Source organism: Homo sapiens, chromosome 4, assembly GCF_000001405.40.
Source record: "Homo sapiens chromosome 4, GRCh38.p14 Primary Assembly".
NCBI lineage: Eukaryota > Metazoa > Chordata > Mammalia > Primates > Hominidae > Homo > Homo sapiens.
Genome location: NC_000004.12, coordinates 36,333,159 through 36,354,779, shown reverse-complemented (window position 1 = coordinate 36,354,779; position 21,621 = coordinate 36,333,159). Strand labels below are relative to the sequence as shown.

Genomic DNA, 21,621 nt, shown 5'->3' with positions numbered 1-21,621 from the left:
AGGAATGGATCTGAGAATAATTTCTCATTTCAAGACTTCATTTCATAGAGCTGTAGGTTAGATGAACAATTTGCTGCTGCTGTGCCCTATTTTTCTATTTGTAAACTCAGTAAACTTTCAAGACCATGTTGTTTACGCTCTCTTATAGAATGTTGTCCTAAGCCCTCTAATAATACCAAGTAATATTTACCATAGACCTTGAAATTGGAAAGAAATTCCCTAAAAACTAAAATCATTTATTTTCCATGTAGTTTAGCTAAGTGACATTTTATTATAGATACATTTTATGTATAGGAAAAATTAAAACTATTCATGAAGTTTTTGCTACAGAAGAATACTAAGGTTAAATAAAAAATAATCTTACACAAAAATCTTGGAACTTGCCCCCCAAAATTCAATGCTCAATGAATATTTAACCTATGCTACATAAATAACAACAGAGAAAAAATACTGGGGAGAGTTCAAGGTTATTGTAGGAAATATGTGCATATAAATAAAAGACTATAGAAATGAAAGTCCCCTTATACTTGTTCATACTGTCACCATGGGGAAATCTTTTGAATGGGCTTCTGAGTCCACATAAATAAAAGAATTAAGAATGCTAGTCTAACTGCTACAGAGAATTGTGCAGTCATGCCAAAGTTTCAAATAGGGAAATATTTAAATTAAATGACTCATGGCTCCGGAAAGTATTTCTTGTTCAAAGTCGTATAATATGGGTGGACCACAACAATTCAGAAACCTTCACCCATATTCAACAAAAATCTCAATTAGTGCATATGGTGAAATAATAAAATTCATACGATTACTTTAAAAAGGGACTTGAGAGGTCATCAAATCAGAAAATAAAATCACATGCTCTACAATTTAGAAGGCAACTTAGCAATCTTACAGTAAAATTATTTCTCATCTTTTTTTTGCCTTACTCTTTACTGATCAAGCATATTTCTGAACTCTACTTTCCTACCTTCTATGAAGATAATTCTAAATATAATTAATATTTGTATTAATGACTTAAAGTTATCAGTCTAAGAGGGCATTAGTTTTCTATTGTTTTGTAGCCGGTTATCACATACGTAGTGACTTGAAATAGCACCTATTTATATCCTTACTGTTTCTATAGTTGGAGTCTAGCACATTCTAGCTAGTCCTTTGATCAGGGTCCATCTCAGAAGGGTGAACTCAAGGTGCAGATGGCTGTGTCCCCATCTGGAGCTGTGGCTAGGGAAAGATACACATCCAAGCTCCATCAGGTTGTTGTCAAAATTCATTTCCTTGTTATTGTAGGACTGATGTCCCTATGGTATTGCTAGCTGTCAGTGAGGATTTCTCTCTTCTTCTTGAGGCTATCTTTGGGAGGGGTGGAGTGGTTGACACCTGTAAACCCAGCACTTTGGGAGGTCGAGGTGGGAGCGTTACTTGAGGCCAGGAGTTCAAGACCAGACTGAGCAAAAGCAACATAGAAAGAGTCCATCACTACAAAAAATTTTTTTGAATTAAGAAAAAAATAGAGGCTACACTTGGAGCTTCACCAGGTGGCCCCTTCTACTTCAGGAATGGAGAACCTTCTTCAACTGGAATTTCATTCATGCTGCTTTTGACTTCCCCTGCTGAGACCAGTCAAAAAAGGGCTCAGGTGACTAGGTCAGGCCCAGCTGAATACTTTCCTAATTCCATATAACATTACCAAATCCTATGAGTTAAATCCATTTCAATTCATAATGTGGGGAATTATTGAGTGTATATGACAAGAGGATGGTAAATCTGAGAGAGTCATCCTACAATTCTGTATGCTATAGAATTCCATGCAATGGAGAAGACATGGACTTTGAAATCAGAAAGGGAGGGGTTAAAAACCTAACTTTGCCACCTGATTTATTTATAATAGGTGCTTAAGAAATATTTGTTGATTGAATTATGAGTGAAAAAGTGAACAAATGAACAAGGAATATGTAAATGAATGAACTTAACATTTCAAAGCCTGTTTCATCATTGAGAAAGAAAAATAATAGCGCTGAACTGAAGGATGCTTATGAGAATAAAGTGAGATTATACACAAAAAGATCTTGGCACATAGTTAATATTCAATAAATTGGCACCTAGTATTAATCTTTCTACAGTGGCATAAAAGTGGCTTACCACTTTTATAAGGACTTCTAATGTCTCTGGTTTGCTGCAGCAGTCTGCTGCTAACACCAGCAATAATTTCAATCTTTGCATTTTCCTTCTCTTTCCCTTGCTTGTAGGGCTACTGGTTCTGCTACTTCTTTGATCAACATTGAAGTCAGATATCTTTAATAGCCATACAGTGTTTTCTTCCTTATGCTTAGTAAATTAGTTGTATCGGTCAGGATAATAGGGGTTTACAACAATAAAAAAAATGCATTTTTACATATTTGCATGCTGCTTATCACAAGTAGGCTATGGATCTCTCCCATGCTTCAGGACCTAGGCCAATGAAACACCCCTCCCTAAACCACTGATCCTCTCAAGGCAGAGAGGAAAGGAACATGGTGGAACCACCCCATGGCTCTTAAAGCTTCTGCTTAAATATGGCATTCATATTTCATGGGTACTCTAAATCATATCACCAAGCATAACATCCATGGGGCAGAATGCATAATTCCCCCACAGAAGAGCAGCAAATATTTTAATACAATCAGTCTCATTTTAGTGCTCATCTTTATATAGTTAATGGTTTTCAATTATGCTGCTCATTTTTGCTTTATGTTCAGGGGCTGTTTTACTGACACCACATTGTTGGTTTATGTGCTTAGAGATGTAATGTGGAAGGAGTCATAATATTCAGCTTTGTTTAGAATTTATCTCACAAAATACATTACTTTAAAATTATAACTAAAAATATTCTGGAAAATATCACCCAATTATTTGTTTAAAAATCATCCTAATTTAGATATTCACTTTTAATGTATGCTAGCCACTTTTTGTAAACCAACAAACCACAGAAGCACCCTTGTTCAGAACATTTCAAAATCAAGAAGGTAATTCTTTAGAATGTCAGTCAGTAGCATTTATTGGAGAGTGAATTTAATCAAAAGTACATTTATTTCATAGTACTATCCATAGTTTATATTTTCAGTTTCCATTTCCCAGTAATTCAGAGAAATTACAGTCAGTTCTAATGATCAATAATATATGTCATCATTACAGTTGCTTTGATTAAGGAAACAGAAGATACACTGTAATGTAAAGACCTCTATAATGCACCAGTTCTTGTAGATAGTACTTTGTTTCTTCACAGTGAATGGAAATTAGACATTTCAGAACATTAGAACACTACATTAGCCACAAAATAATGTACTATTGCATTGACAGTATATTGGCCATAGGTGAAATTATTCCCTCTAATTCTACAATAACTTCATAATTAAAAAAAAAAAAAAAGTATCCTGCAGAGCAGGTCTTTCACTACATAAAGGAATTTGTGAGGTCTTGAACATTTCCTTAATTTTATCTGTGACACAGAGGCCCCCTCGTGGTGGCATCTAGGCATTTGCAGTGACTATTTCTAAAGAAGAGTTTCAGGCTGACTGGCATAAACAGGGCCTTTCAGGTGGAGTGAGGCTTGGATCAGTTCAAATTTCTGAGGCTCTTGGCATATGTAAAAATTACCAAAAATAAGTCTAATAAAGATAGAATATATTGCGGTGTATTTTAAATTTTTTAGCATGTACAAATGCAGTGGAATATAATTTTATCCTTTAAATAGAGAGAAAAGGTCAAAAATATTAATTCAAAGTTTATAGATGGAGGTGACATGTATTCATAGAACCAGGTTTAAAGGTGCACACCGAGCAGCTTCCAGGGAAGTCAGTTAATCTTTGTGATAGTGGTGGGCTCTTCTCATTAACTACAATTTTAAATTTGAGTTCTGCTGTTGATGGGGGATTAAGCCAAGTGTTCCTCCTTCCCAACCAGTCCAATTCCGTGCCTCAGCTCCTCGGCTCCCCACTCCACCCTGCTTATTCTTGTGAACAGATAAATCATCTCAAATGAGGACTCTAAGAGGAAAAAATGGATATTCAGCATAGGACAGAGCTTGCACTGTTTCCTTTTTTTCCCTCCTATGTTACCCTTGGTTCAGTAGTAATCATGAAAAGTAAAAATAAAAATTGAGAAAGTGTTTTGGACAAGAAGTGGAATATGATAGGCAATGTCTTTAATCTTCCATGGTGAGAGTGTGACTTGAGGTCTTCATTAACCTTACAGAATACTCAGGTACATAGCCAAAGATTTTGAGTTAGAAGGTTGTTTTGGTCCTGTGAAACTGAATTTGAATATCCACTCCAGGGTATCCTGTATCCTGGGTCAGTTTGGCATATATCACCTTGCCTACAAATTAGAATCAACTGGGGAACTTTGTAATTCTGATTCCCAGAACACGCCTCTGACTAATTCAATCAGAATTTCTCAGAAAGGCTCCAGGAATCTCCTACAAATTCTAATACGCTGCTGATTTGAGAAACACTGGGCTGGAAAACAGAAAGGTCACAGGAGTGTCCCCATCAGGCTAAGACAACCAGGGACACACCTGAAATTCCACAAAGTTAGATTTCTTAATTCATTGCCATGAAGGGCTTGCACACAGAGGAACTGTGAGTGCCTCGGTAAACAAAAGCAAAGATGGAGTTATTTGAGTACACAGGAGGAGGGTGGACGCTAGTGTTTTGATAGGCTGAAAGCAAAGCAGAGCTGTGTATAAAGGGGTCAACATCAGGTCTGCAATGCAAAGTGGACCCAGAGTTTTCCTTCCTTGGCAAACAGGAATGTTGAGATAGATATGCAGTGTTGTATCCAGAAACCCTTTATCTGAAGCTCTGCAACTGGGTAGAAATCAAGAATGCTTTTCTGTGTCAAAATGACTTAGATCTTCCCGGCAAGAAAAGAATACGTCTTTCTCACAGATATGATTTCAGGCAGTAAGGTTTCTGATAATCCATGATTTGGGAGAACAAAAATGTCTCAGTGTATAAGAAAGCAGCAGTCACTCAAAGAAGGGGACATATTATAGCTGCAATATGTGCTTGGAGGAAACACTGATTCCTGTTAACTTTGCAGGTGGCTTCATCAGTGTCTGTTATTCCAGCTTGATGAATGGTGGGCCAGATTTTTACAGTCTGAGCTAATTTTTTTACCTTCTCAGACATGGCAACTATCCCCACAAAGTTGCTTCCAATAAGAAATATAGGGCACAAAAAGAGGATCCCAATAACATGTCAGTGTGTAGATGTTATTCATGAATTAATTCAGTGAAGATGTATTGAGTGCCTACTATGTGCTGGGTTCTGTGCAGGGAACTGAAAATTCACTGATGAACACTACTCAATCCTCAGCTCTCAAGAAACTTACAAACTGGTTGGAGAAAAGCACAAATAAATAGGCAATTACAACAGTGTATAGAAATGTTATAGCTGGATTTAAAATAGAGTTCCACAGACAATTAATCCAGTCCGGGGTATTCAGAGACTGAAAAAATATTATCAGACATTATGGAAGAGAGAGAAATGGTGGGGAGTTGGGTGTAGGGAAAGGGGTAGAAAGGTGGAAGTAAAAGAAAAAGGACTTTGAAAATATAATCATCTGGCTTCTAATCCAGGTTCTACTGCTGTAACTCAGAAAGAGTTTTCTCGCTTGTAAAGTAAGGAAAACAAAACAGAAACATTCACTGAGTGCCAGACAGAGTTCTAAGTAATAGGAATATATCAATTAAAAAAAGAGACAAGCACCCTGGAAATTAAATCAGGTGTTTATTTGCAGAAAGTAAATAAAAATGATAACTAGTAAGTAAATTATTTACTATGTTAGGTAATCAATGTCGAGAGGTAGTGGGGAGAGAATGCTAGCAGAGGAGTCCTGGGAGAGGCGGAGGGAATTGAGGACTCGTTGTGACATCTGTCAAAATGTGTAGGCAGTACGGGGCATTCTGGTGAGGTTAGATCACAGAAGTCATGCTTAGTTAAGCTAAGAGGGAATCCCCTGGCCTGTGTCAGCCACAATTTTGACCTTACTCAATATTTCCCTGTTCTTCTGACTTCAGAAAGGCTGACTTTGTACCTTAGATAAACTTCTTATTCTATAGCACAGTTTTGGACTTCTCATTGAGAACATTTCTGAAAAAGCCATCAGACAGCAGTTGACATTTCTTGCAAATACTGGTAGCAGTTGAACAGTTTAGGCAAAGCCCTGGTTTGCTTATAATGTTCTAAATTTCCGTTAGATGTTCTTCCCCTTTCTTTCATGCCCTACTTCAACCAAAAGCTGATTAAAACATGGTCCTCAACACCCACTCTTTCACCCCTAACCCTCATAACCAGAACAATGTGTAAGATATTTGGCTTGTCACATTCACTAGGATGGAGAGGCATTTTGTTCATTTGGTGGACAAGGTCAGGGATGCTGAATGGTCTGCAATTTATGAGCCAGTGCATGTTAATTTTTTGAAAACGGATTTCTTTCACAATGCCAATAACATCTCATTAAGAAACACTGGATTAGAAAAACAAAACTTTATCCAAAAGATTTAGCTATTTTGAAAATTAGATTATAATGTGCTCAAAGCCTACCTACCTCATTTGTTAAGGTATTTCTATTTTAGTCTAAAATACTTCAGAAGGGTGAGGCATGGTAATGCCTGTAATCCCAGAACTCTGAGAGGCCAAGGAAGGTGGATTGCTTGAGCCGACGAGTTCGAGACTAGCCTGGGCAACATGGTGAAACTCCATCTCTATAAAAAATACAAAAATTAGCCAGGTGTAAAGGCCTGCACCTGTATTCCCAGCTATTTAGAAGGCTGAAGTGGGAGGATCACTTGAGCCTGGGAGGCCAAAGCTACAGTGAGCCGTGACATCATGCCACTGAGCTCCAGTCTGGGCAACAGAGTGAAACCCTGTGTGAAAAAAATTAATTAATTAATTAATTAATTAATAATAATAAAATACTTCAGAATATACAAGGAAATATGTATGTGTTCATTTAAGCTACATTTTAGTGATAGTCAATTGCTGTAATCAAGAATTTACACTCCAGATGCTGTAAGTATCTAATCAAGATGACTATGGACATAGGTTTTGGTAATTCAAATAATAAATGTTACAAGATTTTATTTATAAAATTTGATGCTTAATAATTAGCAAAATGGTGACTGTAATGGTTTTTTCAATAGTGAAATTGGTGTTATTAAAAATGTATAGATTCTAAATGGTAGTGCATTCTTGCGCTTCCATGATATGAAATAAACACATGAATAATGATGTTCAAAGTTTAATTGCTAAATGGTCCTGAATATAGAACACGGTTAAATGAACTATGGTAAACTATCACTTTGCTCTTAGGTATATATTGGGACTACAGTCTAATTGATATGAAAATTTTAATATATGCATATAATAGAATATTATACATTAATGAGAATGAACCATTGCCACACACAGCAAAATGGATGAATTTCAGCAACATAAAGTTGAATAAAAAGTCAAACATAAAAGAATATATACTGCAAAATTTCATTTTAACCAATTTCAGAAATTGATTATACTAAAATTAATTGTGCTATGGTTATGAAATAGGATATTATACAGTCATTAAAACATTCGAAGACATTAAAAACTCATAATTTAATAAGACAGTAATTTTAAAAACTGTATATATAATATATGACTCCCATTCTGGGAAATAAAATACATGTATACGTTGCTAGGAGCATAAGAAAGGTGTGCAGAGAGGTATCAATCAGGGTCTCAATGAGAAATATAGTGATATACTCAAATTAGAATAATAAAAGGAGGCTTTATTTTAAAAAGGGGAGAGCAGGATGTAGGGGAACTGCAAGGAATAACACAGTTACTCCAAACAACAAGAGAGCTATTACCACCCTTAGACTTGAAGAGACAAGAAGAAGACCAGTTACCAAAGCACAGGAGAGAGTTGGCTAGAGGTGGCCTTCTTGAGAGGAGCAGTGGTTGCAGGCCAGGGACACAGCCAGGCCAAGATGAGCACAGGGAGGAAAAGGGGAATGGTATAATTCACTCTCCTTCCTCCTGTCTGTCTTCTGCTGGGGCTTTGCATTAGCAAAAGCGAACAAGGCATCTCTGATGTGGTCCATACAGGTTGGCTCACCAGACAGAGAAATGGGTATGCAAAGGTATGGGTGTGTCTATCAATACTGAGGGTGTTCAGGGGCAGGTCTCAATCCAAGTGGCACAGATTACACATGGGATTGATTTCCTGGATTATCTTAAGAGAGGAGATGCTGCAGGGATGATCAATTGTTTTCTCTATGTACCTTTTTATTGCTTTACTGTAACAACAATATGTGCAGTATTTGTTTTAATTCTGGGGGAAAAATGTATCTGTGTTGTGAAGAGGTGTGTATATGTGGCTGTGAGTGAATGTATGTGAGTGTATGTGTGAGAGAGAGAAAGAAAGACGGGAGGGTTATGACAGGGAGTGTTTTAATGAGATTGTATATGTGCAGGTGAAGTGGTAACGGTAAAGTGAGATGTCGTGTGTGTGTGTGCATGTGTCTGTGGGGGAGGCATATTAATGAGTGTATGCGTATATGAAATGTGGAGGTGGGGTATATGTGAACGAGGACATTTGTGAGAGTGTACAAGTGGATCTGAAACTATATGTGTGTGAGGGGTGTGTGTGTGTGCACATGTATTTATGTATGTGAATAGGTGTGTTTCTGTGAGAGAGTTGGGAGCTGGGTGTGCAGGAGGGGTGTGTTTGTGACAGCATATGTGAGGTGCACAAGTGGACCCGAAACAGTGCTGATAAAGGGTAGGCCTGTGTGTTTGAGGGTGCATTTGTGAGAGGTGTGTGGCAGGGATGTGTGTGATGGGACATACATATTAGCATGTGTGCATGCAGGTGAACACATATGTGAGTGTCCTTAGATACATCTATACCGATAGAAATAGAAATATTTTCTTCCAGAAAAAAAGAAAAACTAGAAGAAATTATGCCAAAAATGTTAATAATAGTAATCTCTAATGACAGGATAAGAAGCAACTTTCATTTTCTTTACTTTTTTGTTCGATTGTAATCAGGAAAACAATGAACATTTTAGTCTGTTTTCTTTGCCCCAAGAATACATGAAAATACATATTGTACCTTTTTGGCAGCATGTAAAAAATCTTGACTAATAAAATATTCCTTTATGGGACTATGTTTGAAAATGGGAATCGCCTTTTTTGATATATACCTGAATAGATATCTAAATCCCTGGTTAATTTGTAGAAGGAAGTCTTGCGTTTAAATTTGAAAGAGATTAAAACATTTAATTTTGTAATATAACTCAATTAATTCCTAGGTATTCAATAACTGAAACTAATTGCTACCGATGTTTTCAAGCCAACGACCTAATGGTTTTTGCATTAATGAGTCAGTGAAACTAGTTCAATGTCCCATTTATATCCAACTGCTTCAGAGAGCTAAAGGGCGTTAGGCTTTCCAAAAACTCAAAGCTTATACTAGACATTAATAGCGATTATCAATAGAAAGAGGGGTTTAGATAAGTTTTAATTTTTTCTTTCATTTTAATGTTCTATTTACAGATGTTTTGTTTATTTTTAATGATGTATATCTAGGGCTTATGTAATAAGGCTTCTGTTAACTAATTTTAAAGCAGGTTTTCTTCCTAAGTAGAAGAAATAGGCCTTGAATTCTTTCACTGATAACTTATTTTCTCTGCACTGCCTCATTTCGCTAATAACAAAATATGGAATTTTCCCTCTTCCAAGTTATATTTTTATAAAGGAAAAGTCTGTGCCAGTAAATGGCTGAAGTGTTATTCTATTTTTAATTTATTTCGAGCTTAGAAAGGTTTTTTTAAAGTGAGTTACTACCACCGACATCAAGTCTTTCAGTCCAATTTATTTTGTATTGTTTACTGTAGGCTCTATGGTATCTATGTAACTTGAATTGGTTGCCTGAGTCAACCAAAAATAAAATTCTAAGTCTCCCAACTATCTGAACAAGCCCCTTCTCTCAGCCAAGGGCATTTCAAAGTTATCCTGAAAAACTAGTTTAGGCCATGCTGGGAAGGGGAGGTTGGACATGACTCCATAATACCCTCCTCTCTTTTGGAATTCAGGAAAAGCTGGCCAGCATAAATTTCAACAGACCTTAGGACTGATCAGAAATATTTACAATCTATTCCCTCTAAAGTCTGCTACCTGGAGGCTTCATCTGCATTATAAAACTTTGGTCTCCATAACTTCTTATCATAGCCCAGGCATTTCCTTCCTATTGATTCCAGGTCTTTAGATAATAACTGTTCAATCAATGCCAATCAAGAATCTTTAAATCTACCTGTGATCTGGAAGCCCCTGCTTTGAGTTGTCCTACCTTTCCAGATTGAGCCAATGTACACCTTACATGTATTGATTGATATATTATAACTCCCTAAAATGCATAAAAGCAAGCTCTACCCCGAACACCTTGGGCATATGTCATCAGGATCTTCTGAGGCTGTTACGGGCCTGTCCTTAACCTTGGCAAAATAATCTTTCTAAATTGATTGAGAACTGTCTCAGATATTTTTGGGCTCACACTTGAAGTCACAGAAAACTAGTTTAATTTTATGTAGATACCAATTAATAAGTAATTACATATATCAGATCTTTTCTTCACACTTAGCTTTTAAAATGTGAACAAGTCAAACTCAATTGCAAATGCTATTAAGTGAGGCCAAACTCAAGACAGTCATGGTTGCAAAACATAATCACTCAACCAGAGAGGAGCGCTCACACCCAGGAATGCTTTCTATTATCTGATCCGTGCTTCTCCCTTTGTCTCACATCATTAAATAGCACATCATTAAATAGACTGACTTCAAATAATATCATTCGGAAACTTCCAGGAAAATGTTGACAGAAACAAAAACCCACCGTGTGCCTTTTCCTAGGGGTAAAGGAAGAGAGATCAGGCTTTTACTCAGGGGCTACATCAAAACACTGCTGTGGTTCAGTGAACACTTTATTTTCCCACTTGAATTTGAGCTCTTCTGCAAGATCACTCCTGCCAATCTTGCGGAGATGTCGAGCCAGGAGGCGAAGTTTGTCGGTGAAAGTTGGAAGCGATTTTTTCCAGAAGCAAAGAAACTCGTGGATCTGTTCTGTGAGATCATCAGGGTTCTTGAGTTTGATGAGCTGAATGGTGCTACGGCGCAGAGGGAGAGTTGAGGAAAGAGACTCAGCATTTTCTTCTGAGAGCTCCTCAGCCAGCCAATGGAGCAAGTTATCCCAAAGGGCTTCTGTCAGGCACAGGAGGAACACTCACGGTTAGGACCCTCTCCTGGGGGATGCATGGGTCTAACCCTCCACACCTGTTTATAGGAAGTCTCCCTGCTCTTTTGTTTGGCCTTGGAGCAGTGCAGAGATATGAGACTACCTGGAGCAACAATCAAAAGCCTCTGAATCCCTGGCATTCTGGGATCATCTCCTGAGGGTACTAGCTATTGCAGAGAGTTTTAAATGCTTATGAAATTTTAATGTACCTGAGAACCAAGAGGGCATGTTAAAATGGTTTTTACGCTCTGCTCTACATGATCTAATTGAGCAAAACTAGGGTGGGAGCAAACTTGGCATTTTTAACAAGCTCCCAGAAGATGCTGGTGCTGAGGTCCGCAACCATGCTTTGAGTAGCACTGTTTGTTTGTTTGTTTGTTTGTTGAGTCTCGCTCTGTCTCCAGGCTGGAGTGCAGTCGTGTGAGCTGGGCTCACTGCAACCTTCGCCTCCTGGGTTCAAGCGATTCTAGTCTAGCCTCAGACTTCTGAGTAGCTGGGATTACAGGCACAAGCCACCACACGATGGGATTTTTTTTTTTTTTTTTTTTTGTATTTTTAGTAGAGACGGGGTTTCATCTGTTGGCCAAGATGGTTTCAATCTTCTGACCTCGTGATCTGCCCACCTCGGCCTCCCAAAGTGCTGGGATTACAGGTGTGAGCCACCACGCCTGGCCGAGTAGCATTGTTTTTGAAGGGTCATTTTAGGTTCAAAACCTATTTCTCCTTATTAGTACTAATCTGATGCATAAATTATACCAGCAGCTAGCCAATCCTCACACACATCCCTAACTATACACACACTCACACACACACGCAGACATACACACGACATGATCTACCACCCAAAAACAATTCTGTGGAAGATCCTTTACACCAACACTTTCCACTGGGCCGTCCTCTGTTGACTCCTGTTCACCTGTTGTTATGGTTGTTACTGATGTGTAACTTAGATCCATAACTCTGAATAAAACCTCTGTCCCCTACTATCTCTCTCCTTTCACATTCCAGCCCTTCCCTGCATTATAGCCACTTTCTCCCACTTTCATGCTCACCCCTGCACCAGTTTCCCTGGTCTGGTGTTAAGCAAGCATTCCATCTGCCTTCCATTACTGAACTATTCCTTCCTCCTACACACTCCTGTAAATTGCACCCTGATTTTACAATACAAAGCCACCTTTCTGCGAAAACAAGGAAAAGGGGCCAGCACTTCCTTGTTCTCCATCATCACTTTCAACCCAGAGTTCTGCTACCTCCATGCAGTGCATTCATTTTGAAGTCCATGTTATCTGGGCAGGCTTTTCTCGTCCCATCCACGTCATCAGCAACACTCTGTAGGCAACTTCATCAGCAGCCCTGCGGATCATCATTCACACCTCCGACCCCAGTTTCTTAATTTTGTCAACTCCAATGACACATCTTGTGACTCCAAACTAGAAACTGACTTTCAAGGCCAATCTTCGTGTTTCATGCTCAGCCAGAATTATTCTACCTCCTTGGCTTTAGCCCCTTAATATTACTGCTGACCTCTACCTCCTAAACATATTCCATGGCCTCTAGTCCTTTGCTTCTGCTCAATATGCTCTTTGCTGCCATCACTACTATAGTGATCCCTTGGTGTCCCCCAGTCATTCGGTCACCTCTGCAGGGTCTCATATATCTCTGTACCTGCACTGCTGCTAGTGATCAACTATGCACATCAATGATGGTCTTGTGTCCACCTTAGAATATGTTGTCTTTTTTAGCTTTCATTTTTCTCAGTTTGTCAATCTGAATCTTGTGTTATTCAGATTGCATTCAGTTACCTGGGCTGCCTGAGGTTAGGAAAATATGTTGAATGTGATCAACAAACTGTAAATTATTTTATACCATTTGAGTCCTTAGTCGCTTGAAAATCCATTAAAAATATTTTTTCTAAACTCAATAAAAATTTGTTTGTAACAATGACATGAATCTTTTCTCCTATCTTTAGCCCCAATCTCACTCTCATTCTGTTTCACTCAGCCCATGTCTGCTTCTCCTACTTTACCCAAAGCCATTTGACTTGAGTTCTCCTAACTTTGTTTTCATTTCAAAATTACTTTCTTACAAAATCTCATTCCTCTGTGTTTGCTGGATTCCATCCCTCACACTGCTTTTCATCAAGTATTTTCCCTTCACACCTGCCCCTTAATCTCCTCCTCACCAAGGCTCCTTCCTTGCTTCCTATAAACACTCTCAGGCCTCCTCATCCCTTGCTACTGCTACTGTGTCAAGCTATTGTGGTATTTCTTTCCTTCTCTTTATCACATACTCTTTCAAAATCTAATGTAAACTTGAGGGCTCAAGTTCCTCACTATCAACTCACTACTTAAACCTCTGCGTTAGGCATTCTATGCCCTTCTTCAAACCTCTGTTGAAGCCTTTCTTTCCAATCTTATGAGAGGCCTCCTACTTCTACTCACTGCACTGATTCCTGGCCTGTGTCTTCTCTTACTTCCTTGGAGCATTTTACTCCTCTCCTTGGAGCCCCTGGCCTCCCCTGCTTCTCCTCTTTCCTCTCTTGCCCTTTGCCAGCTGTCTTCCTTCCAATATTCTTTTCCCCCTGCTAACTCTCTTCCTCCTAATACTGCTGTATTACTGCATCCCATCTCAGGCCTCTTCTATTTCTGTCCTCACCCCTCAATGAATGCATCAACTCTTACTGACGTTACCATCACCACTAACTATGGGAAATATCCTAGATCTACCCAATCTTTATCTTTTGGCATTATTTTCCTAAATCCTGGTGTAGCACTCACAATATTCATCTCCTAATTATCTCTATCAGTGTATTCTACAGCCAATACAAATGTCATATTTCTAAAATCAGAATAATCAATGATGGTCTTTCCTTCTCACTACTTGATCTTCCTTTACTCTATTCACTTTCTTAGTTAATGCAGCCACTCAGCTGAGCAAGCTGAGACATGTGATGTTCTTCACATTTTTCAAAGCCTATTTCTTATCCCCTGCACCCAAGCCCTAATGTTCCTAACTCCGAGCATCTCAAATATTTGCTTTACTTTCCTGCCTTGCTGACTCAATCTTAACCATGTCCTACCTAGCTTCTTCCTTGACTATTGCAGGAACCAGGGTTCTAGCTTGTATCCCTGCTGTCAGTTTTGGTTCACCTGAAAGTCTAATTTGATTTTGCCAGTCCCCTGTTGACAAATTTCTTGTAGGGTCTTCCTATTGTCTAAACGTCTTTATTTGGCATTTAAAACTTTTCATAGTTTTCTCCCACTCAAAATGTCTAACCTCATCTACTGTCACCCTTCCTACAGCAGTTCTGATGGCATTGGTCATGTGGGAGGATTCATGTGAGGACAAATATCTCCCAACCTGTGTAATAAACTAGAACTCCTAGTACCCATAAGAAGGATCCTTCTACCTTTGTATTCTCCAGTGACTGTTAATGATGGCAGTGATTATGCTTTTATCTGGACATCAAATTCTTCAAAGGTTAACAGCATTATTAAACTTGCAAAGCTTTTATCTATTGCTGTTGTTGTTTTCTATATCATCTGCTCTCTTTTTAAACACCGTTTATTTATCCCTGAAAGGGTTTATAATATGGTGTTTATTCTATCCTATTCCTAGTGGAGTTTAATAAGACCTGAACATTTTCTGTACCAATCCGTAAGGGCAAACTCATATCATTCATAATGGACCTGATGCACTAGTAAGAATATCCTCGCTGATGTCTTTTGAAGACCAATAAGTTATCACATTAGTAGCTACTGATATCACAAAATAAAATGTTTCAAGAGCTAAAATAGAATAAAAGTTTCCAATTCTACCCTGAAATCTGTAGCATTGTTATGTACTTGAATTATGCATAATGATAACCAAATATTAAATGTTTCTTATGGTTTCATATCAATATATACCTCAAATTCAAATAGATTGACTTCAAACGTTGATTTGAATTGAACGTACTTTAAGATTTACAACTTAAGAGTCAACATTTCAGCTCAAAGTATAGTCATCTATTAGTAAACTAAGCAATTGCTAGCCATACAAATAAAATAAAACTCAGTAACATTTATATTTCTTGTTGATTTCAACTCAGCTTTAATTACATGCAGATTTAAGAATGCTAGTTTGGTTTATTTGTATATGACCTCCCAGGAAATAAGTATTTATTAGGCCAATAAAGTTAATGATTGTTTGATTGGAAAGTCACTTTCTCCATTCCTTTTTATGAAATGATTCACATATATACAACATATAAGGGGGTGGGGAAGCACTATAATGATGACAAAGCAAATATTCCTCACCTACAGGATCCTTAGAAACTCTTTTGGTACTCTGTGGACGGTTGATTAATTTCTTATGCTATTGGGGGAAAGGAACACAAAATAAACAGAAGAAGTAATTAATTTGTGAATAAGCTACAACGAAAATTCATCTGAACATCATCTCTGTTTCGAAGAAGTACTGAATTGCATACCTTGCAAAATTAAATACTGTATTTGTGCATGCATGCTCAGCAATTGTTTTCCTAAGATAAAGCCAAGTATACTAACCCAAATATTTCAGCACATTTAAATTTAAGAATACCCATTTAAATATTATTATAGCACTCAGATTAACTCTAAATGAACATTTTTCCAACTAAAATTTAAAACTGTTAAACCAACTAGCGTAGAGCAAGCTACCAGCATGCTGTAAAGATGGTATTTTGTAAAATCCCTTGTGGGGCAGGCACTTTGCCTCAACACAGCACAGAACCTGGCACCTAACAGGTTAAAAACAATCAAATCAGAGTGCAGATATTATTCGAAAATCAACCTTTTATCAAGAAGTAAATATATTTATTTCACTAGCTTTCTACACAGTCTGCAGAACAGTTTTTTCTCAGGTAATATGAGATAGTGGAGACAGCATATGAGATAAAATAAAATTATCTGGGTTCAGATCCCTAGCCAGTGGTTGAGTAGCATTGCACTTTGGAGAATTTATTTAAATGCTCAGCCTCAGCCCTGAAATGTCTTTATGGATGCCTACATCACAAAGCCTTGCACACAAATGTTCATAGCATCTTTATTTGAATTAGCCAAAAACTGGAAACAACTAAAATGTTCTTTCGTGGAAAAATAGTTGAACAAACTGTAGAATATCCACACTACAGGAACTAAAGTAATAAAACAAAACATTGATACATGGGACAATTTGCAAGGGCCTCAGAGCATGATGCTAAGAGAAATATTCTAGTCTCAAAAGGTTATGTATTCTGATTATATCACATTCTTGAAATTACAAGATTATAAAGATGTAGAACAGATTAGTGATTGCCAAGGGTTACTGATGAAGGGAGAAGGGGTGAGGGAGCACAAAAGGGATCTTTGTGGTAATAGAATAGTTCTATATCTTGAATGTGGTAGTTGCATAAATCTACACCTGATAAAATGCCAGAGAACTATACATATACATTGTATCAATGTCAACTTCCTGATTTTGATATCTTGCCATAGTTATCTAAAAAGCAACCACTAAGGAAATCTGGGTAAAGAATACATTGAACTTCTCTGTACTATATTTTGCAACTTCTTGTGAATCTATAATTACTGTATGTCAAAACGTTTTTTAAAGCTTATTTCACAGCAGTGATACAAGGATGATGTAAGTGTTACATGTTAATGAGTAGCATACTGCTTCCCACTGAGCACTCTAATACAAGTTAGTTGAATCTGAATATCATATTTTATAGGCATCCTTGTCACAAATATTACATAAACATGGAAGCATATAAAACTTCCATTAAGAAGTTTTGATGGGAAAAAATTAAGAAACATAGCATGAGTTGAAGTATGCTATTATACTGTAGCACTGCAAAATAAATGCATATAATTTCCAAGGCATCAACTATGTGTTTGAACCCCTGAAAATATTGAGAAAGAAATACTAATTTAAATAATGCAGCAGATTCTATCATTCCCATCAAAGGGCACATGGCCTTGGACAAGAGATACATATTGAGACTTTTCTTTATATCAGTAGTATTTCCCCTCCATAACTCTTTGTTCACAGATGTCTCATCGCATTTTGATGCACACAGAAATGGTTCCAGTGTTTAAATTTTTTTTCATGCACATGAAATTGCAATTCAAGTACTTCACCTGATGCACAACCATAGAAGCAGTGAATTGGGGTAGCTCAGGCTCTTTTTAGACTTCCAGGCACTGTGTTGGTCTCCCATGTGGCCCCTTCATAAAGGATTTTCTACGTTGCCTTCTTTTCCCTTCACTTTCATTTTCCTCCTCTCCATGCCCCCAAGCCTTTTTTGCATGATTTTGGTCTGTGCCCTCTTTTCGCTTTGCACACTACCTTTTGAACCTCCCTGGTGCTCAGGGTCAGCTACAAGCAGAACAGTCAGCCAACATTTGGCCTCGTGCGGTCTCCCCTCCCACAGGTTCCTAGCATCCCTGTGTGGCTCACTGGATGCCTTCCTTAGCAGAAACAGCTCTCATTTCCCCCCACTTTCCTCTCTTGCCTCCTTGCAATCAAAAGATGCTTTCAAAGGCCCTTCTCTGGTTCTTATTTAGTTTTTATTTGGAGGTTCTATTCCACAGTTTTCCAAGTCTAACTCTGTAACTGAGTATCCCAACCTCAAAATGCATTGTAAAACTTTTATTTTTCTTTTCTTGCTTTTAGCCTTGAAATATACTTTGAAACTGTTTGTTTCTCCCTTTGCCACCAGGCACTTCTGTGAACCATGCTTGCTTATCTAATTACATGCTTGCTTAGAAATTCCAGGGGCCAATCTTGAAACAAACCAGGCAGAGAGACCAAGCTGTGAAATCCTCCCTATTAGGGGGAGTTACAAACAGCCCACCACTACCAGGCTGAAGTCAGGATCACACATACTGGACCTCCAAATGGGTGATTACTCAAGACAGCCATTACAACAAGACACTCAGACCTGCACTCTCCTGCATGACTCCTGCGTGCTTTCCACACCTTTTCCTTCTTAAACTCCTTCACTCTGCCCAAAATGTTGAAATGGTCATTTGAAGGCATTAGCTTGGCCATTCCCCCAAGTGCTAGCATTTGATTAGCAAAACTGCTTTCCCTTCAAAACAACAACAACAAAAGGTGCCATTCGATTACATTTTCTTAGGTTCTATTTGTGAAAGTAATATTTCTTATTCCTCTCAAGTACTCTGTTTTATGTTAATGTTGCATATTTTAATTTGCCACCTATGATATCTTATATGCCACTTGCAACATGTCACTGCTCTGGAGAAATGCTGGACAAATTTAAAGGTGACTCTCCAGCCCTCTATAAACTGTTTCTTTGCTGCACAATCCACATTTAAATGGGCATAGTGGGGCTTATGTGGCTGTTTTCCCTGAATTATAAGCCTCTTGAGGGCATCAGTATAAAAATATAAGCAATTCAGATATGTACAGATGTGTCATATTTATGCTGTTAAGCACAATGCAAGCCTTATCTATTTAGAAGTCATTTAAAAAATTGAAACCAAACACAGGCACCTACACCAGAAAGAGGTACGAGTGTCTTGAGTTTTATAGCCACTGTCATTAGGATTCCTTTGATTACTGACTACTCTTTCCATGCTCCCTAATTATAGCCCTGTATTGAATTCTTAAAGCTAACTAAACCATTTTTTACTTGAACTCATATGTGTGAAAGTTTGATCTTTTGTGTGCAACTCAACAAACTGGACTTGGTTACATCTACTCAATTACCCAGTGTTATTTCCCAAGAAACCTCCAAAAGTTTTTAACCCTCCTTGGGGCTTTTCAGTGCTCCAAGATCCAGCCATTATCAGGCTTCCCTTTACTCAATAGACTTAACGTTTTTGAGGGCCAGGAAAGTATATCTCATTCCTGTACATGTTAGACATCATAGTAGGTAAGGTGTTGTACACAAAAAGTGGTAAAAAATATTTTATTGGTTGGGTGCAATAGCTCATGCTTATAATCCCAGCACCTTAGGAGGCTGAGGCAGGAGGATGGCTTTAGCTTAGGAGTTTGAGATCAGCCTGGGCAACACAGCAAGACCTCATCTCTACAAAAAAAATACAAAAAAATAGCCAGGTGTAGTGGCTTACTCCTGTGGTCTCAGCTACTTGGGAGGCTGAGGGAGGAGGATCACCTGAGCCTGGGAGGCAGAGGTTGCATTTAGCTGAAATCATGCCACTGCACTCCAGCCTTCATGACAGAATGAGAGCACCCCCCCTCAAAAAACTTAACAAAAATTTGTATTCACATGATGATATCGTCTCTCGATTTAAATGATACGCCCCTTCAAATCCTGCCATATTTTCAAGGAACTGGTCAAATTCTACCTCTTTTATAAATTAGTTTCTTATTTGGGAATTTATGCACTATACTATCACACAATTTATCTAACAACTTAATATTATATTGTTGTTAATGCCATTCATATATGTTGTTTTCCCTCCCCAATTAGACATTCACTGATTTATTGTGCCCTCTTCTGCATCTTCTTTTATATCAGTACTTACATTTGCCACATGTTAAGCACATCATACCTTTAATAAATACTTAGTAGCCAGAATGGCCCTCCATGGACAATCACAAGGATTGTTATCATCATACATTTAAGGTCAGCAGTTTTAGCTGTTCACACAATCTGCACAGCAAGGTTTTTATGTATCCATGAAGATTACTTCCACCATTTCCTGCAGAACACATTTCAGATCTCCGCTGCTTTTTGAAAAACACATGCCTTACACCCTGTCTACCACTCTCTCACGAGGCGTTTAGTTTTCTATTTTCTGAGAAAATTAAGCAGTGTGCTGAGCATGGTGGCTCATGCCTATAATCCCAGCACTTTGGGAGGCCGAGGCAGGTGGATCACCTGAGGTCACGAGTTTGACATCAGCCTGGCCAAGATGGTGAAACCCTGTCTCTACTAAAAATGCAAAGATTAGCCAGGTGTGGTGGTGCACACCTGTAGTCCCAGCTACTCAGGAGTCTGAAGGCAAGAGAATCGCTTGATCCCGGGAGGCCAAGGTTGCAGTGAGCTGAGATCGTGCCACTGCACTCCAGCCTGGGTGACAGAGTGAGACTCTGAAAGAAAAAAAAAAAAAAAAAACCAAAAAAAATAAAAGTAGGCAGTGGTTCTCAAACCTGAGTGTTCCTGACAATGAACCTTGAGAAAGGGGCAAAAAAGGGAAGCTCACACTTGGATTCAACTGGTCTCAGATAAGGCCACATTTGGAATAAGCAACTGGGTGATTCTGATGCTGAGGCTGAGTGCACATAGAAAAAGCCAATCAAGTATCAAACCCTACATGAATTATCAACTAGCACCCCTATAAATATATCCCAATGAGTACATGGAAGAATGAAAGAAACATCTTTATCCAAAAAGTGATGAAGATTTCTAACGTCACATCAGGACAAAAGTAAACTTCAGATTGCTTCACCTTACCTAAAGCTATAGGGATGTAGTAATAAAAATATTGATTTCTATTAAGTAATTTCATAAATTACCTCACAGGAATCACGCAGATGACCTAGCTCTGGGGCCCATCATCTCATGCAGAAATTTCAGTTTCTGGCAAAGTTTTCTCAAGTATTTCTGGCAGTTTCATGGGCTTTACTCTCTTGGCATCCACACTGTTCCACTAGGTGCCCCCCAGTGCTCAGCTGGACCATGCAGCCCTCCACACTCCTTCTGTGGGCACGGCAGCTTCTCCCCATGCATCTATCACCACGTAGCATGCCATGATGGTTTCTACCTGTCCTTTAGTTTTCCTCTCATGGTGCCATATAGGTCCAGATGACATCTGTGGTTTCCACAGGTTCGCACAGCTGCTGCCCTACTGCTGCTCTGCTGGATCCCACCAGCAGTGATCCCACTGCACCTGCTTTATATGGAGCTCTTGGTCTCTCCTGCTTCCCTTCCAAGCGAAGCAATTGTCTGTTAGTGGCCACCCTAAGCTCTCCCGGTGTGTGAGCTGTGTGGTAAAACATGATAGGATAAAGGAAGTGGCTTCCTACCCCTCATGTCACATGACATTAAAGTAATATTGACTGTGCCCTGATATGCCACAGAACTAAATAAAATAGGCCTTCTTTTTTTTAATTAAAACTTTTTTCCTTCAGACATAATCATGCATCTAAGGAGTGGAACTTCGGTGCTCAACTCTAAACACTTGCTGGCCCCAATGACTAGAGCTCTCAGTGTATGATATGATATATATTTGTATATTTCACATATATGTAACATGTACTATATATAATTATGCTATATAATAATGTGTAATATTTATATTACATATGATATACT

The 21,621-nt window shown here is 38.4% G+C and overlaps 1 protein-coding gene across 10 annotated transcripts in view, besides 1 other annotated feature; it reads right to left on the bottom strand.

Annotated features, from left to right (window-relative positions):
* Positions 6,072–6,221: an enhancer, noted in NCBI's record as "active region_21409". NCBI's record gives its function as "activates an Ori minimal core promoter by ATAC-STARR-seq in GM12878 lymphoblastoid cells {active_cell/tissue: GM12878}" and the evidence as "EXISTENCE:reporter gene assay evidence [ECO:0000049][PMID:35858748]".
* Positions 7,269–21,621, bottom strand: part of DTHD1 (death domain containing 1) — a 65,896-nt gene continuing 51,543 nt past the window's right edge. For 8 of the 10 annotated variants that reach the window (NR_160267.1, XM_011513693.3, NM_001170700.3 and 5 more), the window contains 2 exons: positions 15,611–15,668; positions 7,269–11,278 (listed from right to left, as the gene is read on the bottom strand). Coding sequence is in view for 8 of the 10 variants with exons in the window: in XM_011513693.3 (XP_011511995.1) it covers positions 10,956–11,278; positions 15,611–15,668 (381 nt within the window). In the remaining 2 variants the exon portion in view is untranslated. Of the gene's footprint in view, positions 11,279–15,610; positions 15,669–20,277; positions 20,397–21,621 lie in introns of all 10 variants that reach the window. The other 2 variants (NR_165630.1, NM_001378435.1) reach the window with 2 other exon arrangements.